We start from the raw sequence: 20,692 nt of genomic DNA on the forward strand, positions 1-20,692 counted from the left end.
CAACAATTCTTACTTCCTGACACCCACTGGATGTCCTACAGTTCGGTCCAATTCTGACACTTCCCAGAGTTAGTGCAGGCCCCACAGGTTAAGGTTTTGATCCCACAAGACTGCCTCCACTTCAGATACCGGCCAGAGAATCGCAAATGGGGTCCCCAGGCTACCCATGCTTCTGCCCAGCTGACTACAAATTCAGGGTTCACAAGACCCCTGCTCAGGTTTGATAATTCACTAGAATGATCCAGAACTCAGGAAAACACTATGCAGTCCTTGATTACCGTTTATTAGAAGGGCTGCACAGGCACAGCCAGATGGAAGGGATGCACAGAGCAAGCCCTGTGGGAAGGGCGCGGGCTTCCCATGCCCTCCCCAGGAGCCACCCTCCCAGCACCTCCATATGTTCACCAACCCAGAAGTTCTCCAAATCTCCTCATTAAAGAGTTTTTACTTAAGTTTTATTATGTGGACATGATTGACCAAACCATCGGCCACAGGTGAATCAATTCAGTCTCCACCCCTTTTTCTCTCCCCAGAAGTGACGGGGTTTGAAACTTCAACTCCTCCCTTGAAACTCTCTAAGGGCCCACCCTGTCCACATCATTAGCATAGACTCAAGTAGGATGTAAAGAGGCCGGTTATGAATAACAAGAGACACTCGTGTCACTGTGGAAATTCCAAGGGTTTTAGGAGCTCTGTGCCAGAAGCTAGGGACAAAGACCAAATATAGTCTTCACTCTACTGCAAGTACCTAGTGTGTTGCAATTAGTTATTGGTACATCTGAAGACAAGTGTCCTGTTCTAGTGATCTCGGTAGTCTTAGTTCCAACATCTCACGTAGACCCAAGCACACAGTAGATGCTCAATAAATGTTGATCTTCATGGCCCTTTGTGCTCTTCAAATACTTGGTGGTCTGTGAAATAGGAATACCCAAGCATGGGGCTTTCCCAAGTCTGTGCACCAGAGAATTTTTTTTCCCTGCCCTGTTGCTCCTAAACGAACTGTGAGGACATAGGAGTTTACTACTTATGTGCTCTTTGAGCCTTTGCTCTGATCAACGTCACCTGTATGCAAGAGGTTACCGAAGGCCAGAAAAGTTTGTAAGGCAACCGCACAGATGTTGCTTCTACCAAAATTAAACAAGGAGAGTCCTCCCAAGCCCTCAGAATATCTGGCCAGTCTTGGATAGTTCAGAGAGTAAAACAAGTTAGCCAGGTTCTGAATAGGACAAACATTGAGACAGATGCAAACAGAGAGAACTTCCATCTGACCCCTATAAACACCATTTTCTTCTGGCTTGCAGTGACAATGGAAAGCTTATCCTTTCAGGGAAAAAAAAAAAAAAAAAAGAATAAACAGTGTTCTCTGTTCTCCAGAAGCCACCTTTATTTTCTACCCTTTTCTCTGACTTTGGCGATGGTTTGGCATTGTCAGATTTCCTGGGACTCACTGCAGTATGCTGAGGGGGTCTTTGAAACACCCCCAGAAGTGGACCTGAGATGCTTTTCTCATGACCACTCTGGGAGCCCAATCCACTGCCCTGAGTGCTCCTGAAGCGGAGGCCCTTGAGGACTGAGAGCCGGGAAATGCAGAACCTGGCCAGGGAGTGAAGAAATGAATACTGCTGTCAGGGAAGGAAGTAGATGGAGCAAAACTGCAGCCCCGGGGGAGATTCCCTAACCACAGTTCCTCCAGCTGCTCCAACTTCCTGCTCCACCACCGCCTGGAGTCTGTCCCTGAAGACCTTCCCACAGCCAGCTGAAAGCCCAGGAACCATTTCTCCTTACCTGCTACAGAGGCCATAGGGAACTGAGAACATTCTGGTGAAGAGGGATCCGCCAGATTTCCCTCTCCGGGACTGGGCTTTTGGGAATGAGTTTCACTTGCACCTCAAGATTTTAGCTCAGTGAGCCACGAATAAGAAATTTGTGCAATGTGGGTGCTTCTGGCTTATTCTTCATGAGGAAATGTCAGTTTGAAATGATTTATCTTAGAAGGGAAGAAGTATTTTATGTATGAGAATAAGAATTTAAGTAACTTCAGAGATCAGTTAAATGTCAGCTTAAAAGGAAAAGGAGAGGTTCTGGTGGACTAGAGAGAAAAATGCACAAAATTGCAGGGTTCACCAGACCAGTTTGCTTTGCTCTCCCTGGCAGTGGAGGCTTGCAGGCTGAAGTTGATTTCTTTATCAGCCTTGGGGTTTCTAGTGTTTTCTCATCGTATCAGGCCCCTAAAATTAGATCCATTTGCCATCAAAATTATTGACATACTGGGAATTTTGGGAAGCAGAAAGTTGTAAGAGACTCAGAGAAGAAAATGGTCTATATTTCCAACTTCAAGTGAAACCTATTTAGAGAACACACTCTGCTCTTAGAAGAGCTATTTAAAAGACTAGAACCCCTCTGTACTTTTGGAGGGAATGTAAGATGGTGCCGCCACTATAAAAAATAGTATGGCAGTTCCTCAAAAAATTAAACCTTGGAAGTGCCATATGATTTAGCAATTCTATGTCTGTGTATATATCCAAGGGATTACAAGCAGAGTCTTGAAGAGATCATTCAAACACCCATATTTATAGCAACACTATTCACAGTAACAAAAAGATGGAACCACCACATAGATCCATTGGTGCATGAATGGCTTAAAGAAGATGTGTCATATACTTACTGTGAAATATTATTCACCCTTAAAAAAGAAGGACATTCCTACACATACCACAACAAGGATGCACCTTGAGGAGATTATACTGAGTGAAATAAACCAGTCATAAAAGGGTGAGTATCATGAGATTCCACTTATATGAAGTACTTGGAGTAGTCAAAATCATAGACACAGAAAGTAGAATGGTTGTTGCCAAGAACTGGTGGGAAAGCGGGAATGGGGAGTTATCGTTTAATGGGTACAAAGTTTCAGCTTTGCAAGATGAAAAAAAATTCTGGAGATTGGTTGCACAACAGTGTGAATATACTTAACTCTGCTGAACTCTACACTTTAAAATGATCCAGATGGTATGTTTTATGTTATGTGTATTTTACTGCAGTTTTTCTTTTTTTAAGAAAAGACTAGAATGACCTGGCCTTTGGAGCCACTATTGAGAAGACAGCTTTCCATCTGTAAGTAGCTGCAGCAGATGGTCTCTCAACCCTATGTCATGCTTCTCTATGACAAGACAGGACAGATCACAGAACAAACACTATTAGCTGATGCCACATGCTGGGGACTGAAAACCCAAAGGGGGCCAGGATACAGAAGTCCCCTGTTCTCAGGGCACCAAAGGCCAAAATATTTAGATGAAATAATTTCTCTATGAACAGTACAAAGACTTTTGCGATGTGTATATTCTAAGCCATGTAGCAATGTCTTTCCTGGCTTCCATGGTTTCTCCAGCTCCCCTGACCACTCCTAGGTTGCACCTGTTACAGGTAGTTAGACAGGCATGAGCAGAACAGGAGAGGACCTTCCCCCACCCACTAGGAATGGCGAGTGACGGTTTTGGAATTATTGTTTTGCCTCTCTAAAAGTGATAAACTGGCAGCCAGGGCTAGGGAGAGGTCATTCCCTGATGGTCCACACCTATTGCACTAAAGTCTTAACTGAATGCAGCTGCCAGGGAGAAGCAACTTCCTGGGCATGTGCATTAAGGGACAAAATGGCAGAGCATGACCTTCTAGGGCACTCCACTGGAAACGGGAAGAAAGTCTCAGATGGGCATGCGTGCAACTTCCTAAACACACTGTGCATGCTCACTTTCCAAGGGTAAGGAGGGCACTGCACATGTGGGCAGCCCACACAAAGGGAAGAAGCATGGGAAAGGAGCCAGCCTATAAAGTCCTAGGATCAAGGTTAAATATCGCACTTGACCTCTGTGTCCCACTTGGGTCTCTTCCGAGTGTATTTTCCTTTGTTTCTTGTTCTAAATCCATTTTAAATAAACTTTCACTCCTGCTCTGAAACTTGCCTCAGTCTCCTTTTCTGCCTTATCCCCTCAGTCGAATTCTTTCTTCTGAGGAGCTAAGAATTGAGGTTGCCACAGACCTGTACAGATTCACTGCTGGTAACTCAGATACCTTCCACTGGTAACACACCCAGAAATAAGGTCAAGCATGTACAAGATGCCATAAGATACAATTTCCCAAGTGTGTCACTTGGAGCATTGGTCTCACGAGATGCTGCTAGAAAAGCACTCCATGGGCCAGGCGCAGTGGCTCACGCCTGTAATCCCAGCACTTTGGGAAGCCCAGGTGGGTGGGTCACCTGAGGTCAGGAGTTCGAGACCAACCTGGCCAACATGGTGAAACCCTATCTCTACTAAAAATACAAAAATTAGCCAGGCCTGGTGGTGCACACCTGTAATCCCAGCTTCTTGGAAGCTGAGGTAGGAGAATCATTTGAACCTGGGAGGCGGAGTTCGCAAAGAGCCAAGATCGCACCATTGCATTCCAGCCTGGGCGACAGAGTGAGACTCTGTCTCAAAAAAAGAGAAGACAAGCACTCCATGGCCAAAGACTGTTCCCAGTCGCACTGTGAACACCCCTCAGTGCTGAGGGGCACTCGTGTAGAGGCTAAAGTAACTGCATCTTGGATGCTGATCCGCCATGTTGACTTCTAATTAACCCCAGTTCCAGGAATGCCTCTAAGGTTTCTATTGTGTCTAGGGTTCCTTGTGTAAGAGCACGTACTTACTGTAAATCCTGCCCTTAGGTCAAAACAACCTCAACCATAAATCCTGCCCTTGGGCAGATTCCCATAGCATTCTTGCTTTTCCCTGAGGTGTCAGCTTCAGCTTCTTTTTCTATGGTATATAGGTTTTGAGTTTGAGAGGTAATGCTCAGCAGATCCACCATCTTGTCACAGTCATGGTTTCTGTTTCTAAGTCCTTATTAAAGGTTTCCTTCTGAGAAATGGATATGTCAGCCTCTTTCTTGAGCCTCTCAGTTTCCTCAGAGTTTGAGGTAGGTTTGCATAGACCTGCCCACTGAAACAACTCCGCGCTGAGCAACCCTGGGAATGCAGCTTTTATGCTTCCTGGTGTGTTTGATCCTGGCTGGACTGGGTTGCCTCTTGGAGTTAGGGTGGAATCTTGCTTTCCTTCCTCCCCTTGGAGTGGTTGGTACCCAGTAGGTATTCAGGGCACATGAGCTACTGTCCTTCACACCTGTCTTCCTGCCAAGATAAGGAAGGAGTTTACCCAGTTGGAAATTAGCTCTCTGACTGGCCTAGGGTGGAAAGTAATGAAGCCAGGCTGACTTTTCTCACAAGTCTTCTGGTTCTTCACCTCTGTAGGTGAAGATGTGTAGATGACCTGAGATTTGACAAGGAGCGGTGAGGCTGAGGCACTGCTGGGGAACCAACAGTGCAAAGGCAGCCAGCAGAGCCAGCTGTGGCTCCAGAGAAGCTGAGCAGAGATCCTGGGGACAGGGAGTGAGGCCACACCAACAATTCTAGGCCTTCCAAACCAGCCCAGCTGTTAATGCAGACACTCCCTAGTAAGAAACAGAACACCTCTGGGCTCCAAGGTATTTGGGCCACGTTTTCTTGGGCATACTCGTATCCTTGACTATAACAGCCCAACCACACGTCAGTACAACCCACCTGTTGCTACATCTACAGGCAATTCTTGGCACTTTGTTATTCATGATCCAGGCACTTACAGTCATCAGGCAAAACTTTCCGTTCATTTTCTTTCTTTTTGGTAGCTTTACCTTGTCTTTTATTTATTTATTTATTTACAAACAGGGTCTCCCTTTTTTGCCCAGGCTGGAGTGCAGTGGTCATTCATAGGCCCCACCACAGTGCACACTGCAGCCTCAAACTCCTGTTCTCAAGCAATCTGCTCACCTCAGCCTCCTGAGTAGCTGGAGCTACAGGCTACAGCTGCACCCAGCTCCCTGTCCATTTTTTTTTTTTTTTTTAGACAGAGTCTCGCTCTGTCACCCAGGATGGAGTGCAGCGACACGACCTCAGCTCACTGCAACCTCCACCTCCCAGGTTCAAGTGATCCTCCTGCTTCAGCCTCCAGAGTAGCTGGGATTACAGGAGTGTATCACCATGCCCAGCTATTTTTTAGTAGAGTCACAGTTTCACCATGTTGGCCAGGCTGGTCTCGAACTCCTGACCTCAGGTGATCCGCCCACCTCGCCCTCCCAAAGTGCTGGGATTACAGGCGTGAGCCACCGCACCTGGCCTCCCTGTCAATTTTTAACTGTGTATCATCTCATTTATGCATTTTCCTCTACCCATGTGCCTTCCTCCACCTCTACACTTGACATCCTCTTGGATTCACTGTCTCCCTGGGGATCCCTGGGCTCTGGCCATGCATTCCTACTGCTTTCCCAACTCCAACATTGGCTCCCAAGTTCACTCAGCTCCCATTTCCCTGGGCCTAGCTCAGGCCTTACTCCTTCCACAGAGTCCCAGAATTGGCCAGGTGGAAGTGTCATCTCTTTCCCTCCACTGAACTCTCGGCATGCAGGGTCCCTTGCTAGACTCACTCACTGTGCACATGACAGCTGAAGGCAGCTGCGAGACAGGGGCTGTACCTTATTCATCTTTGCATTCCTCCTCCCAAGTGCCACAGCCCCATGCCTGGCACACAATTTGTGCTCAGAAAATGTTAACTGAAGAATGCATGCCACTCAACAACAAAAATTCAAACGCCCAATTAGAAGGTTGGCAGAAGACTTGAATATATATTTCTCCAAAGGAGATATATAAATGGCTAAAAAGCACTTGAAAAGACACTCAACATCATTAGTCATTAGAAAAATACAAATCAAAACCACAATGAGATACCACTTCACACCCACTAAGGTGGTTATAATAATATTTTTTGAAAAACAGAAAATAGGTGTTGGCAAGGATGTGGAGAAATTTGAACACTTGTTCATTGGTGATGGGAATGTAAAATGGTGTATCTGCTGTGGAAATCTGTTTGGTGGTGCCTCAAAAAGTTAAACACAGAATTATCAAATGATCCAGCAATTCCACTCCTAGCTATATACCCAAAAGAATTAAAAATACATATTCAAATAAAAGTTTGTAAACAAATGTTTGTAGCAGCACTATTCACAATAGTTAAAAGGTGGAAACAATCCAAATGTCTGTCAGTGTATGAAGAGATAAAGAAAATGTGGTACATCCATATAATGGGATATTATTCGGCCATAAAAAGGAATGAAGTACTATACCTGTTATAGCATGAATGAGCCTTGAAAACATTATGCTTAATAAAAGAAGCCAGACAAAAAAGACCTTATATTATATACAATTCCATTTATATGAAATGTTCAGAATAGGCAAAACCTATAGAGACAGAAAGATCAGTGGTTATGCAGGACCAGATGTGGGAAGATGGGAGTGTGACAGCTAAAGGGTATGGGGTTCCTCTTTGGGGTGATAAAATTGTTCTGAAATTGACTGTGGTGATGGTTGCATGTATATGTGACTATACTAAAAATCATTGAATCACACTTCTTAAATGGGTAAATTGTATAGTATGTAAATTATATTCCAATAGAGCATTTTCTTAAAGGCAGAATGAATGAACATATTTAATAAACTTTCAACATTCAAGTTTTAGCATTCGTGTCTAAGAATATGCATGTAATACCCCAGAGTTCTATGATATGCCATCATTTAAAATTGCTGAGGTCCAATTTGAATTCCGTAAGCCAAGAGGCTGCCATACTCTAGGGAGTCCCTGGGCCAAGTGGGGAGACTGGATGCCAGCCATATTCCTTCACCCATGCAACATCAGTGTGCTTTATAAATTAAGGTAAAAGAGCAGAGATACAAACTCTAATACTACCTTTTTTTTCCTTTTTTTTTTTTTTTTTTTTTTGAGATGGAGTCTCACTATGTCGTCCAAGCTGGAGGGCAGTGGTGCCGTCTTGGCTCACTGCAACCTCTGCCTCCCAGGTTTAAGCGATCCTCCAGCCTCAGCCTTCCAAGTAGCTAGGATTACAAGCATGCGCCACCATGCTCGGCTGATTTTTGTATTTTTAGTAGAGATGGGATTTCACCATGTTGGCCAGGATGATCTCAAACTCCTGACCTCAGGTGATCCACCCATCTCGGCCTCCCAGAGTGCTGGGATTACAGGCGTGAGCCACCAGGCCCAGCCTCTAATACCACTTTCTTTTTGGGGAAAAAATGGCCCTGATTGGGGTGGGAAGAAGATAGCCATAAAGTCAGTAAGTATAAACAGATGATGCTGTTCACTATTTTAGAGTTTCATGAAAGTCTTTGAGTTTTCATGTGAAATATAGAGATTCTAACATTTAGAACCCTGGCTTTTAGAGAAGGGAGGAAGTCATCATGAATCTAGAGGCAGAATGTCTAGATTTGCTGTGCTCATCCCAGGAAAGTAACTCCAAGTTAGTATTAGAACACCAACAAAGCACACTAGCTGGAGATAAAGACTTTTCCAGGCAGGTAGCAAGCCTTTGGGGCCAAGGATAGCCAATCCTAGGCAACTGAACCTCACCTTTGGCACTGGAGTTGGTTAGGAACAAATTGGGGAATGAGACTTTGCTGGTGAAGGCCGTGCTGAATTGATAAAGTAAGATTGGTAGACAAGGAAATATGACAGCAATGGCACATTGATTCTCTTGCACTTATAGCCAACCACTGCATATTTATGGAATAACAAAACTAATTATTCTTTCTTGGTATGGTTGCTGAAACTATTAGTTCTTTCCCAAACCTGTTTCACATCCCCCATCTCTTTAAAACAGCTGGGTGAGAGGCCACAGACTAGAAAACTGCAGTAAAGGATCAATAAACAAATGTTCACCCTCATTAGAAATTGGAGTAATCAGGGGAATGCAGTTTAAAACCACAAAAGAGGCTGGGTGCAGGGGCTCATGCCTGTAATCACAAAAGTATGGGAAGCCGAGGCAAGAGGATCACTTGAGGCCAGGAGTTCAAGACCAGCCTAGACAATATAGTGAGACCTTGTCACTACAAAGAAAAAAAAATTGTTTGAAGAAAAAATAAATTTAAAAAATTAAAAACAAACACAAAGAGATACCGTTTCATGGCTATCAGATTGCAAAAGTGAACCCCAGCAATACAAATAGTCGTCCGGGGTGCAGAGCAACAGGAACTCTCATAATTGCTGGAGAGAGCATATAACCTCTGACACCCAACAAAACTGAAGACAGCACATGCTGAATTATCCAACAGCACACCCCTAGAGGGAAAGCCTAGAGAAATCCTCACACGTGGGCACAGGAGATGTCAGCAAGAATGTCATTGTAGCATCTTTGCATAAATAAATTGAAACAACCTAAATGTCTATTAACAGGAGAATGAATACATTGTGATATGTTCATTCAATTAATTGTTACGAAACAATGAAAAAAGGATTGAATTATTGTTATATGCACCAACATGGATACACCTCAAAAGGTACTGTTGTGCCGGGCGCAGTGTCTCACGCCTGTAATCCCAGCACTTTGGGAGGCCGAAACGGGCAGATCACGAGGTCAGGAGATTGAGACCATCCTGGCTAACATGGTGAAACCCCTTCTCTACTAAAAATACAAAAAATCAGCTGGGCGCGGTGGCGGGCGCCTGTAGTCCCAGCTACTCGGGAGGCTGAAGCAGGAGAATGGCGTGAACCCAGGAGGTGGAGCTTGCAGCTAGCCGAGATGGCGCCACTGCAATCCGGCCTGGGAGAAAGAGCGAGACTCTGTCTCAAAAAAAAAAAAAAAAAAAAAAAGGTACTGTTGTTGTTTTACAAAACCTATTATTGGATACAAAAAGTAAACTGCAGAAGGACACATTATACAATGCCATGTATTTACAGTTTAAAAGATGCAAAACTGGCCAGGTACAGTGGCTCATGCCTGTAATCCCAGCACTTTGGGAGACCAAGGCAGGCGGATCACCTGAGGTCGGGAATTTGAGACCAGCCTGACCAACATGGAGAAACCCTGTCTCTACTAAAAATACAAAATTAGCTGGGCATGGTGGCACATGCCTGTAATCCCAGCTACTCTGGAGGCTGAGGCAGGAGAATCGCTTGAACCCGGGAGGCAGAGGTTGCAATGAGCCAAGATTGCGCCATTGCACGCCAGCCTGGGCAACAAGAGCGAAACTCCGTCTCAAAAAAATAAAATAAAAATAAATAAATAAAAATTAATAGGGCGTGGTGGCACCTGCCTGTAATTCCAGCTACTTGGGAGACTGAGGCACGAGAATTGCTTGAAGCCAGGAGGCAGAGGTTGCAGTGAGCCAAGATGGCACCACTGCACTCCAGCCCGGGCGACACAGCAAGACTGTCTCAAAAAAAAAAAAAAGATGCAAAACTATTTTATGTTGATTTATGGATGCACATATTAAATAAGAGTAGAAAAGCATACCCAAAATGCTAAGCACCAAGTTTCAGGTAGTGCTTATCTCCTTAGAGGAAAAAGAATAAGATCAGATGAGAGACAAGTATACAGGGCTTCCGCCGTATAATGCTTTGTGTTTCCTTTTTAAAGTATATATAGCAAAAGCAAATATGGCAAAATGCTAAGCTCAAACAGACTGGGTGATGGATAATTGGGTTTTCTTTATATTATCCTTTATTCTTTCTTGCATGCTTGAAATACTTCATAGTTTTCTAGAAGTAAAAAGATAAAAAGAAGGGAAAAGGAAGGGAGAGGAAGAAGAGAGAGAAAGAGGAAGAAGAGAGAGAGAGAGGAAGTAAGAGAAGACAAGGAAGGAAGGAAGGAGAGGAAGAAAGAGAGAGAAAGAAAATAAAGGAAGAGATGAAGAAAGGAAGGAGAGGAAGAAAGAGAGAGAAAATAAAGGAAGAGATGAAGAAAGGAAGGAAAGAAAGAGAAACGAATCTCTTCCTGGTGTTTGCTTTCTAAATCCTGAGAACTTGACTCCTTAGAGAAAGGGGACACACAGACAAATTTCTTGGGTTCAGGGGGTTTAAGGAAGATGAAGTGATCCCACTCACCCCTGACACTGTGAAAATATTCAAATACACACAGGGCTAGCAGATGAAGAGAAGAAACTCAGAGAGGAGTAGTCAAAAAAAACTATGGATTTTGTGGTCTCTAAATAAAGAACCCCTGCCCCTGCCCTTGCCCTGTGCAGAGCCCTGGGGAAGTGGCAATAACCAAGGCAATTATTTGGAATTTGAGCATAGAAGAGACCCATACCCCTCTCCCAGGGACACTGTTTGGGCTACCTGCTGCCTTAGAGGACACAGAGGCGGTAAACAGCTCCTGGGCCCCCAGTCAGTTCTCCAGCATGATTTGTGTTCTGAGTGTGGAGCTAGACAAAGCCACTAGAGAAGTGCAGAATCCAACTGGGTGTCATTAAATAGCTGAGAGTTGTCGTCCCATTAGACAGGAAGGATATATGGGGATGGGATACACTTGCAGGGAATTCTGAACAGAATCAGGCAATAAATAATGCAAAGCAACCTAGATATAAGGAGTTAGAAACTCAAACCGGGTGGGAGACTTAGGCAATAGAATCACGTGAACTCTAGAGACTCCAGCCCCTCTCTGCAGGCAAGGAGTTCCGTTATGATTGTTCAACTTGCCTGTGAGTGTTATGAGGAAAACTGGATCTTGGTCCACAGCAAAATCTGCTGTATCACCTCAGTCCACTGAGACGGAAACTGCAACTTGCTTACTGTTCAAGTTGTTGAATGTTTCCTCTATGAGTCTCTGTTGACCTTGGGAAGGGTTCAGATTGAGTATTAATGCTTTTCTGTTAGGTTTAGCAACAATCTGTTTATATTAGGCATTTTGAGGGTTTGTAATGTTTAAGAGGAGTGGCATTAAATAATCTAATATATTAGCCTCATGATTCCAATTTTAAAAGTGTTATTGAGTAATTGTTTAGATTTGTGATTTTACTAGGTTTGTAAACAATATTGGAATGTTCATGAGAACTTGAGATGCACTGTATTTTAAAGTTTAATTTATTATACTTACTAGAATTGTTTAAGTGTTTGGGAATGTTCTGATCGTTAGGGATTTTGAGTGTTTGTAAATGAATTCAAATATACTAAATTTATAAGTCCAGTTTAAAATATATAAGGGGATTTAATTAACTAAGATGTAAAAAGCCCCCTTAAAAGTGATTGTTAAAATTTATTAGATTTATAAATAAAATAATGAGAGTTGTCCGTTGACATGAAAAGCTTATAGAAAATGAGAGTTCTTTTCAATGTATTAAATAAATTGAATATAATTTTTGAAAAATAACTACAAATAGAATCTCTCCTTTCACACACAAAGCTCCCCTCAAGGAGATTTAAACAATCAACTTGTGGTGCCCACAGCACCTTACAGAAGTGGCACAGGAGCTGCTGAGGGGGCATGCATGTGAGAAAGAGGGACACCTGGGGACAAGCTGACATCAAGGGCAGGTGTTCCTGTCCATAATCCCTGCAGTGCACAGGCACAGAAACTCCCTGGATTTTTTTCCCCACCTTCTTATGAATATTTCCAAATATGCAAAATCTTGAAAACATAGTACAATGAACATCCATTTATCCACCACCCAGATTCAACAGTGGCAAACTTTTTGTCACAGTGGTTTATTTACTTCTAACTAGATCTATCGGTCTGTCTATCTATCTATCTATCTATCTATCTATCTATCTATCTATCTATCTATCATCTATCTATCTACATATAGAACTATTTCAATCATTGGCAGATATTATGACTTTTTTTTTTTTTTTTTTTAGATGGAGTCTCATTCCGTCATCCAGGCTGGAGTGCAATGGTGCGATCTCGGCTCACGGCAACCTCGGCCTCTTAGGTTCAAGCAATTCTCCTGCCTCAGCCCCCCCGAGTAGCTGGGACTGTAGGCGTGCGCCACCATACCCAGATAATTTTTGTATTTTTAGTAGAGACGGGGTTTCACCATGTTGACCAGGCTGGTCTCGAACTCCTTACCTCAGGTTATCTCATGACATTTTATCTCAAAGTGCTTTAGTATAAATCTCCTGGATGTTTTATTTTATAATCATAATGTTACATCACACCTGACAATGCTAACAATTTCCTATTGTCATCTAAATCCCAGTTCCAATTCAGACATGTCCAAATGATGGGTTTCTTCTTCTTTTGAGTCTGGTTTATTTAATTCATGTTATGTTTTTGAGATACATTTATGTCATATAGTACATTCTGCTTTATAGCTGTATAATATTTCATTATATTATATACATGTTTATAGATCCATTCAGCTGGTTATCTATATTATTATTGTTTCTAGTTTCTGCCTACTCAGATGATTTTTTCTAACAACATTCCAAGCAAATCATTATGCATCACATGTATCTTTATATCGTTTTAATCTAAAACAAGCTTTCACCTTTATAATTATTTTTCTGAAACTAATGTGTGTTCAGTGGCTAGGACAGTTGTCATGAAAAATGTCCTAAATTCTGAATTTGTCAGCTTTTCCTTCATAGCATTGTTTTAACATGTTTCTCTGTTTCTGGTTTTCTTGTAAACTAACAAAAGGCTTGTTTAGGTTCAGGTTAAATATTTTTGGCAAGAATACTTCCTAAGTAATGGTGTGTACTGAATATTGAATCACATCAGGAGACACCTAATAACAGGTTGCCTCACTACAACTGAGTTAAGCTCAGGCGATGCGCTTGGTAAGTGCCTGGAACACAGCAAACGCAAAATAAATATGATCTATTATTAACCCCACTCCACAGATGGGAAAACTGAGACTCCCACACTTTCAGCTAACTTTCTTCAGGTAACCTGGTTTTCAAGTGACAAAGCTGGAACTCAGACCTGAGCCCTCAGATTCATGACCCAAAATTACAGCTTCTTAAAGCTAATGGATACCTTACAAGTCATTCATTCACTTATTAGTTCATCTAGCAAATATTTAATGAAAGTCTACTATGAGATAAATGGTTAGGCACCATCTCAGGCACTGGGGGTACAGTGGTGACAAATCAAGTCCCCAGGGAACTATGCTGTAGTAGATGGAGAAGGGCAGCAAACACAAGAAATAAGACAATTATAGAAGATGTTACATGACTTGGAGGGAAATACAGCAGGGTCAGGGGATGGAATGGGTGTCACTGAAAAGGTAATTTCAAAGCAAAGGCTTGCGTGAGGTGACAGTGTGAGCCACAGAGAAGTCTGGGGGAGAGTGTTCTAAGCAAAGGAAACCGCCAGTGCAAAGGCCCTGAGGCAGGAGCATAGCAGCCATATTTGAGGAACTTTGAGGAGTAGTCCCTCCAGCCCCCAGCCCTGAGTTTATCCAACAGAAGAGTCCCCTCACAGCTGATCACAGATATGAAGACACAGGGACATATTCCTTTGCTTCTTTAGAGTCCATGGATGGGTCCCTACTCACACATGCACAGGCGCATTTGTGCTTCCCTCTTGCCAACCTGTCCAAAGGATCCTCCCAAGGCCCAATCACATGGGGTGGGATTCTTTGTACCTCTACAAAGAGAAGATGAGGGAAGAGCAGCATGTCACAGGAGTACAAAGGAGATGTGCACAGATTTGGAGGCTGCAAGCATTTGTGTCGGAGTTTGAGGCCAATGCCATGTATAGGAGCTGGAGCATCACCTCCTCCCTTTCCCTCCCTGAGGCTTTCAGGCTTCCCCGAAGTCCCCACCCCAGGTGATGGCATCAATTTGCCCCAGCTCAGCCTGCAACCTCTTATTGGTAATTCTTTTTTTTTTTTTTTTGAGTTGGAGTCTCATTCTGTCACCCAGGCTGGAGTGCAGTGGCGTGATGTTGGCTCACTGCGGCCTCCACTTCCTGGGTTCAAGTGATTCTCATGCCTCAGCCTCCCAAACAGCTGAGGCTACAGGTGAATGCCACCACGCTTGGCTAATTTTTGTATTTTTAGTAGAGATGGGGTTTCACCATGATGGTCAGGCTGGTCTCAAACTCCTGGCCTAAAGTGATCCACCCACCTTGGCCTCCCAAAATGCTGGGATTACAGGCGTGAGCCACTGTAATTCTTGAGAGATAACACGAGGAGTGCAGTGACTAGCAGGCTGAATGATCCACTAGTTTAAATCGATAAGTAGGTAGATTAGAGGTGAATCCTCGTAGAGGAACTTGGATTTGAAGCTGTGGGAAAATTGAGTTTCCAGTCACTGCAGACCTGCACCCCTAATTTGCCACACTGGAACCTGGTAGATTCCGTAGCACATACTGGGAGGCAGCTCTGGAACTCCTCAGAGGAGAGTAGGGAGCCTATGTGTGTCTTCAGCCTGCCCTGGAAGTGCCCAGGAATCTTCCTGTGTTGGGTCTGGGTTTTCAGGATGGATTTCTACACGTATCTGTGGAACTGAGAGTGTGGACTAGACTCTCTCGGGTCAATCATTGGAAAAGTCAGATTAAAGGCCAGTGAGTTCATTAGACCCCACTATTACAAACAAGGACAAAGCTACAAGTAGGTAGCCGGGATTTGGACCAGAGCCCTTGCTTTCACGGCCTGCCTAGCTCCAGGAGCTGGCTGAAAGGGATCCCTAGGTGGTTAACCTACTCTGCTGTGAGCATGAAGGGCACCCAGACACTTTTTTAGACCAGACCTGGTGACACAGCCATGGGCAACTCCCCCCGCCCTCCATCTCCCACTCCATTCAGTACCTTGCTTCCTTTCACCAGCAAGAATGTGCTCCACCATCTCAAACAGCTGTTGCTCGCTGTAGTCAGGAAAAAAAGGCTACAAAAGGGATAAAGTAGTTCAAAGTGATTTTCTTCTCTTCCTACAAAGTAAGAATTTTCCTGCCTAAGTTTTTTTTTGCAGCTTTTAAGTTCGGGGGTACGTATGCAGGAGGTGCAGATTTGTTACATAGATAAATGTGTGCCTTGGCGATTAGCTGCACAGATCATCCCACCACCCAGGTATTAAGCCCAGCGTCCACTATTCTTCCTGATCCTCTCCCTCCTCCCACCCCTAACACATGCCTAAGAATTTTGAGGCCTGAAATGAGGGTGTGAGGAATCAAGGGAGCTGAAGGAATCACGGATGCGGCAGAGGAAGCCATCCTTAGGAGAGGCTCATGGCACATTTCTCTAGAAGAGGTTCCTGGGATGTTTGGATTAGGTTGGCTAAGCCGCATGCTGAAGGGACTGGGGTGGGATTCAGAGATAAGGCAGGGAGGCCTGTGCTGGAGGAAGAAACAGATTTTCCCCTCTGTCCTGCAGTGCCCAGGCAGCTGTGGTCTGGGGGGTTACACTGGCCTTTCATATTTGACTTCTCCCATTCTGCGTTCCAGGCCTATGTCTGATGATCAGAGGTGCACAGTTTTTAAAAGGTTTTATCAAAGTCTTGCTTGGACACAAGATGAGCTATTAAATGAGACCATGCTCTTTTTGCTTTGAAGATTGGTACAGACAAATAGCAGATAAGAGAGTTCCTATGTAGTTCAAATGGAAGACGGTCCATAAAGAACTCCGAGGAGGCTTTTGGGCAGAAGAACAAACATGAACTTGATAGCCCATGTCCATCCGAAGCTGAAATACGAAATGCTGGGGATAATGATAGCCGACCCTGACTGAGTGTTGGCTTTTAGATATTAACTCATCTAATCTTCATGACAACCCTGCGAGGCAGTTACTATTATTAAACTCAGTTACAGACATGAAACTGAGGCAGAGACATTGACTCATGTAGCCCAAGGTCATAGTTAGATAAGGTAGAGCCAGGACTGGGATGCCAGTAGTCTGGTTTCAGTCTGTTCCCTTAGTTACTCCCATATCTCATGTGCTATCCCTCTGAGCCAGGTACCACTGTCCCTGTATAACAGACCGGGGCGGTCTCCAATTCCTGGGCCCACTTGGAGGTAAAATAGGACCCAGGAAGCCAATCCCACGCCCTGGTATGAAGGGAAAACCAGGGAGGAAACATGGAACTCTCCAAATACATTTCCCTGTACTGTACAACCTCAGACAAGGCCATCAAACTAAGTCCTGCCCCTGGTTCAACAACACACAGTATATGAAAAGATGCTTAACATCATTAGTCATCAGAGAAATAAACATCAAAACCACAATGAGCTACGTCTTCACACCCACGAGGATGGTTAGAATCATAAAACCAGAAAATAACAAATGTTGGTCAGGATGTGGAGAAATTGGAACCCTCATACGTTGCTGGTGGGAATGTAAAATGGTGCAGCCACACGGAAAAACAGTCTGCCAGTGCCTCAAAAAGTTAAATATAGAGTTACCATATGACTCAGCAATTCCACTCCTAGAGATATACCCAAAAGAACTGAAAACAGGTATTCCAGCAAAACTTTGTATGCAAATGTTCACAGCAGCATTTCTGTGACCGTCCCAAAGTGGAAACAACCCAAATGTTCCATCAAAGGATAAATGAATAAACAAGATACGGTGTCCACCTACCATGGAAAATGACTTAGCCCTAAAAAGAAAAAGTATTGACGCATGCTACAATGCAGACGAACCTTGAAAGCATTATGCTAAGTGAAAAATGCCAGACACAAATGGTCACGTATTTGTATAATCCCATTTATATGAAATAGCCAGAATAGGTAACTCTATAGAGACAGAAAATAGATGACTGGATTTCCAGGGGCTGGGGGAAGGGAGACTGGGGATTGGCTACTTAACAGGTAGTTAATAGGCGTGGGGTTTCCTTTTGGAGTGAGGAAAGGTTTTCGAACTAGATACAAGTGGAGTTGCACAATATTGTGAATGTACTCAATGCCACTGAACTGTACACTTGAAAAAGGTTTATTTTATGTTATGTAAATTTTGCCCTGATTTTAAAAACTTATTTATTTGTTTGTTTATTTGAGTCAGAGTCTTGCTTTGTGACTCAAGCTGGGGGTGCAGTGGCACAATCACAGATCATGGCAAGCTTGACCTCCCCGGCTCAAGTGATCCTCTTGCCTCAGCCCCCCAAGTAGCTATAATAGAACCACAAGCAAGCACCACCACACCTGGCTAATTTTTAAAACATTTTTTTGTAGAGACAGGTCTCGCTATGTTGCTTAGGCTGGTCTCAAACTCCTGGGCTCAAGCAGTTCTCCTGCCTCGGCATCCCAAAGTGCTGGGATAATAGCTGTGAGCCACCATGCCCAGCCTGGTTTTTAATTTTTATTTTAAAAAATTTTTTGTGATAAAATTAAAAAAATAGAGACAGGGTCTCACTATGTTGACCAGGTTGGTCTTGAACTCTTGGCCTCAAGCAGTCTCCCACCTCGGCCTCCCAAAGTGCTAGGATTATAGGCATGAGCCACTGTGCCTGGCCTCTTTGTTTTGTTTTGTTTTGTTTTTTAAGCTAAAAACAAGACAGAAGTGGCAGAAGAGAGTAGAAATGTTATTTTGTTATCTGCTCTTTTGAAAACTCGAGCACTTTTACTGAGTGTGCCTTGGTATAGTCCACAAGTGCCATCAGCCAACTCTGACACGTGCAGGGTTTCCTCTGCCTGGGCCCTGATGCATGGACTTCACGAGGATTCACCCACTGACTCTTGCAACACCACAAAGGCCAGGCCTAGAGGCTGTGCCATGGACTGTGCAGGTAGAAAAGGGCAGAACTGGGACTCGAACATAGGCACCGTGCTCTGGAGCTCATGCTCCAACCCAAATGACTCTGCTTTGCCGTGGTGATATGATAATGTTAAGAGTCTCAACCGCCACCGTTTAGTGGGTACCGACTGTGTGTCAGGTGTGTGCTAAGCAGTTCGTTTATTCACACACTCATTTCATAAATATTATTGAGACCTCATATGTGCCAGTTGCTTTTTCAGACACTGGGTCACACCAGTGAAGGAGACAGACCAGGTGCCTGTGCTCGGGAAGCTTACATTCCAGAAGGGAGAAACGATACACAAATAGTTGTGAATAGCACATCATGTGCATGGAAGGGCTCATCCAGAATGCAAGGTAAGCGGGTAGGGAGGGGATAGGAGGGCAGGAGGAAGCTAGTTTACAAGGGAGATCCTGGAGGCCACTCTGAGGAGGTAACATTGAACAAAGACCTGAATGATGTGAGGGAGAAAGATTTGCAACGACCTGGGCAAGAACAGCTCCAAGGCGCGAGCTCTGAGATGACAATAAGTTTGCAGGAATAGCAGAGTCCTAGGGGCCTGAGAGGAGGACAGGGGGTAGCCGGGGGCAGGTGGGCGGCCATCTAAGGTCAGAGTACATGGAGACTCACCAGGCTACCATGAGAAATTTGAAGTTATTCTAAGAAGAAGCCATCTACTATCTTAATTAACACTCACCAACAACCTGACGAGGCATGTGCTATTATTATCCCTGTTTTGTTATCCTCTGAATCTGAAGGTCAGAGTGGTTAGGTAACAAATTCAGGATTCCACGGCTAGTAAGTTTGGAGCTGGGACTTGTCCCTGGTCCTGTGACCTCAGAGCCCACTGCCTTAAACAAAAAACAAAACTGCTACAGATCCCTTACCAAAGACATCTCAGCCTTGGGCTGCACCAGTTCAAGCTCCCCGCAGTAGCACCCCAACGCTGCCTACACCCTGCATGGGAAGCAGAGCCTTGGGAAACCGGGAGATGCCCAGAGAAAAAGCAGGAAAGTGATGCTAGCTCTGGGCACACATGAGCTCAGCTTAATCCTCATGACAACCTGTGAGCTGGTATGATTAATAGGCCCGTTTTACCAATGAGGAAAACTGAGACACAGTCTTAAAGTTCCCAGAAGTCCTAAGGGAGTCAGGTGGCAGAACTGGAAATGAACCCAGACAGCCTGCAACCAGACCCAAGGTGTTTATCCTCAGGACCCCATGACCTTTATTATGGATCCCTGACCCTCCCACCACCCTGCTTCTCTCCCTGCATCCCTCTTCTCAGGGCAGGCTGAACCCTCAGAGCTTTCTTTCCACCCTGCCCCTGCCGTTGCCTGTTGCCAGATCCTGCCAGGCTGCCTGGAACCTATCCATTCCCTCTTCTCCACACCCAGTGCCCCATTCACTCCTTCATTCTTTCACTCACAAAGTAGGAATGCAAAGATGATCAGATGTGGCTCCACCCTCAAAGAGCTTACTGTCCAGTGGGCAGAAAGAGATGAGTAGACAATTAATAGACAGTGAATAACTCCACGGGAAAGGAAGGCACAGGGTTACACCTGAATGGTGGTGGCGGAGGATAGTCATCCAGAAAAACTGAGGAAGTCGGGGAAGGCTTCCTGGAGGAGGTGATACCTGAACTGAGACTTGCAGGACAGAAGGGACAATAGACACTAGTAAGAGACAACAGGTGCTTCCACCTCATTCACAGCCCTCTGCAGTCCTGATCTCCAAAGAATCCTGTACCCTGCACACTCTCTGCCCTCCAACTTTCGTTCAAGCAGTAATTGGATGAGCACGAAACACACGCTTTTATTTTGCCAGACCTGGGTTCAAACCTCCATTGTGGCACTAGTTAGCAGTCTTGGGCTAGTTGTTCAGCCTCTCTAAGCCTTCCTTTCCTCAGCTGTAGAAGAATGAGAATAGAAATTACCATGTGTAGCTCTGTTGGCAGAATTAGCAACAACACCAATTAACCTGGCACATGACAATTATTTAATCAGCAGTTGCTCTTAATGTTACACTGTTTGTGCTGCCTGAAATACCTTTTCCCCTCAAATCTCTAATTTTTTTTTTTTTTTTTTTTTTTTTTTTTTGAGACAGAGTCTCACTCTGTCGCCCAGGCTAGAGTGCAGTGGCACGAACTTGGCTTACTGCAACCTCCGC

The 20,692-nt window shown here is 44.3% G+C and overlaps 1 long non-coding RNA gene across 1 annotated transcript in view; it reads right to left on the reverse strand.

Annotated features, from left to right (window-relative positions):
- The window catches only part of RDH10-AS1 (RDH10 antisense RNA 1), a 45,556-nt gene that overhangs the window by 18,709 nt on the left and 6,155 nt on the right, over positions 1-20,692 (reverse strand). The window contains exons 2-3 of the long non-coding RNA NR_125388.1: positions 15,607-15,682; positions 11,550-11,684 (exon numbers count right to left, since the gene is read on the reverse strand). This is a non-coding gene — a long non-coding RNA (RDH10 antisense RNA 1). The remainder of the gene's footprint in view (positions 1-11,549; positions 11,685-15,606; positions 15,683-20,692) is intronic.

The sequence above is a fragment of the Homo sapiens genome, chromosome 8 (genome assembly GCF_000001405.40).
Source record: "Homo sapiens chromosome 8, GRCh38.p14 Primary Assembly".
Classification (NCBI taxonomy): domain Eukaryota; kingdom Metazoa; phylum Chordata; class Mammalia; order Primates; family Hominidae; genus Homo; species Homo sapiens.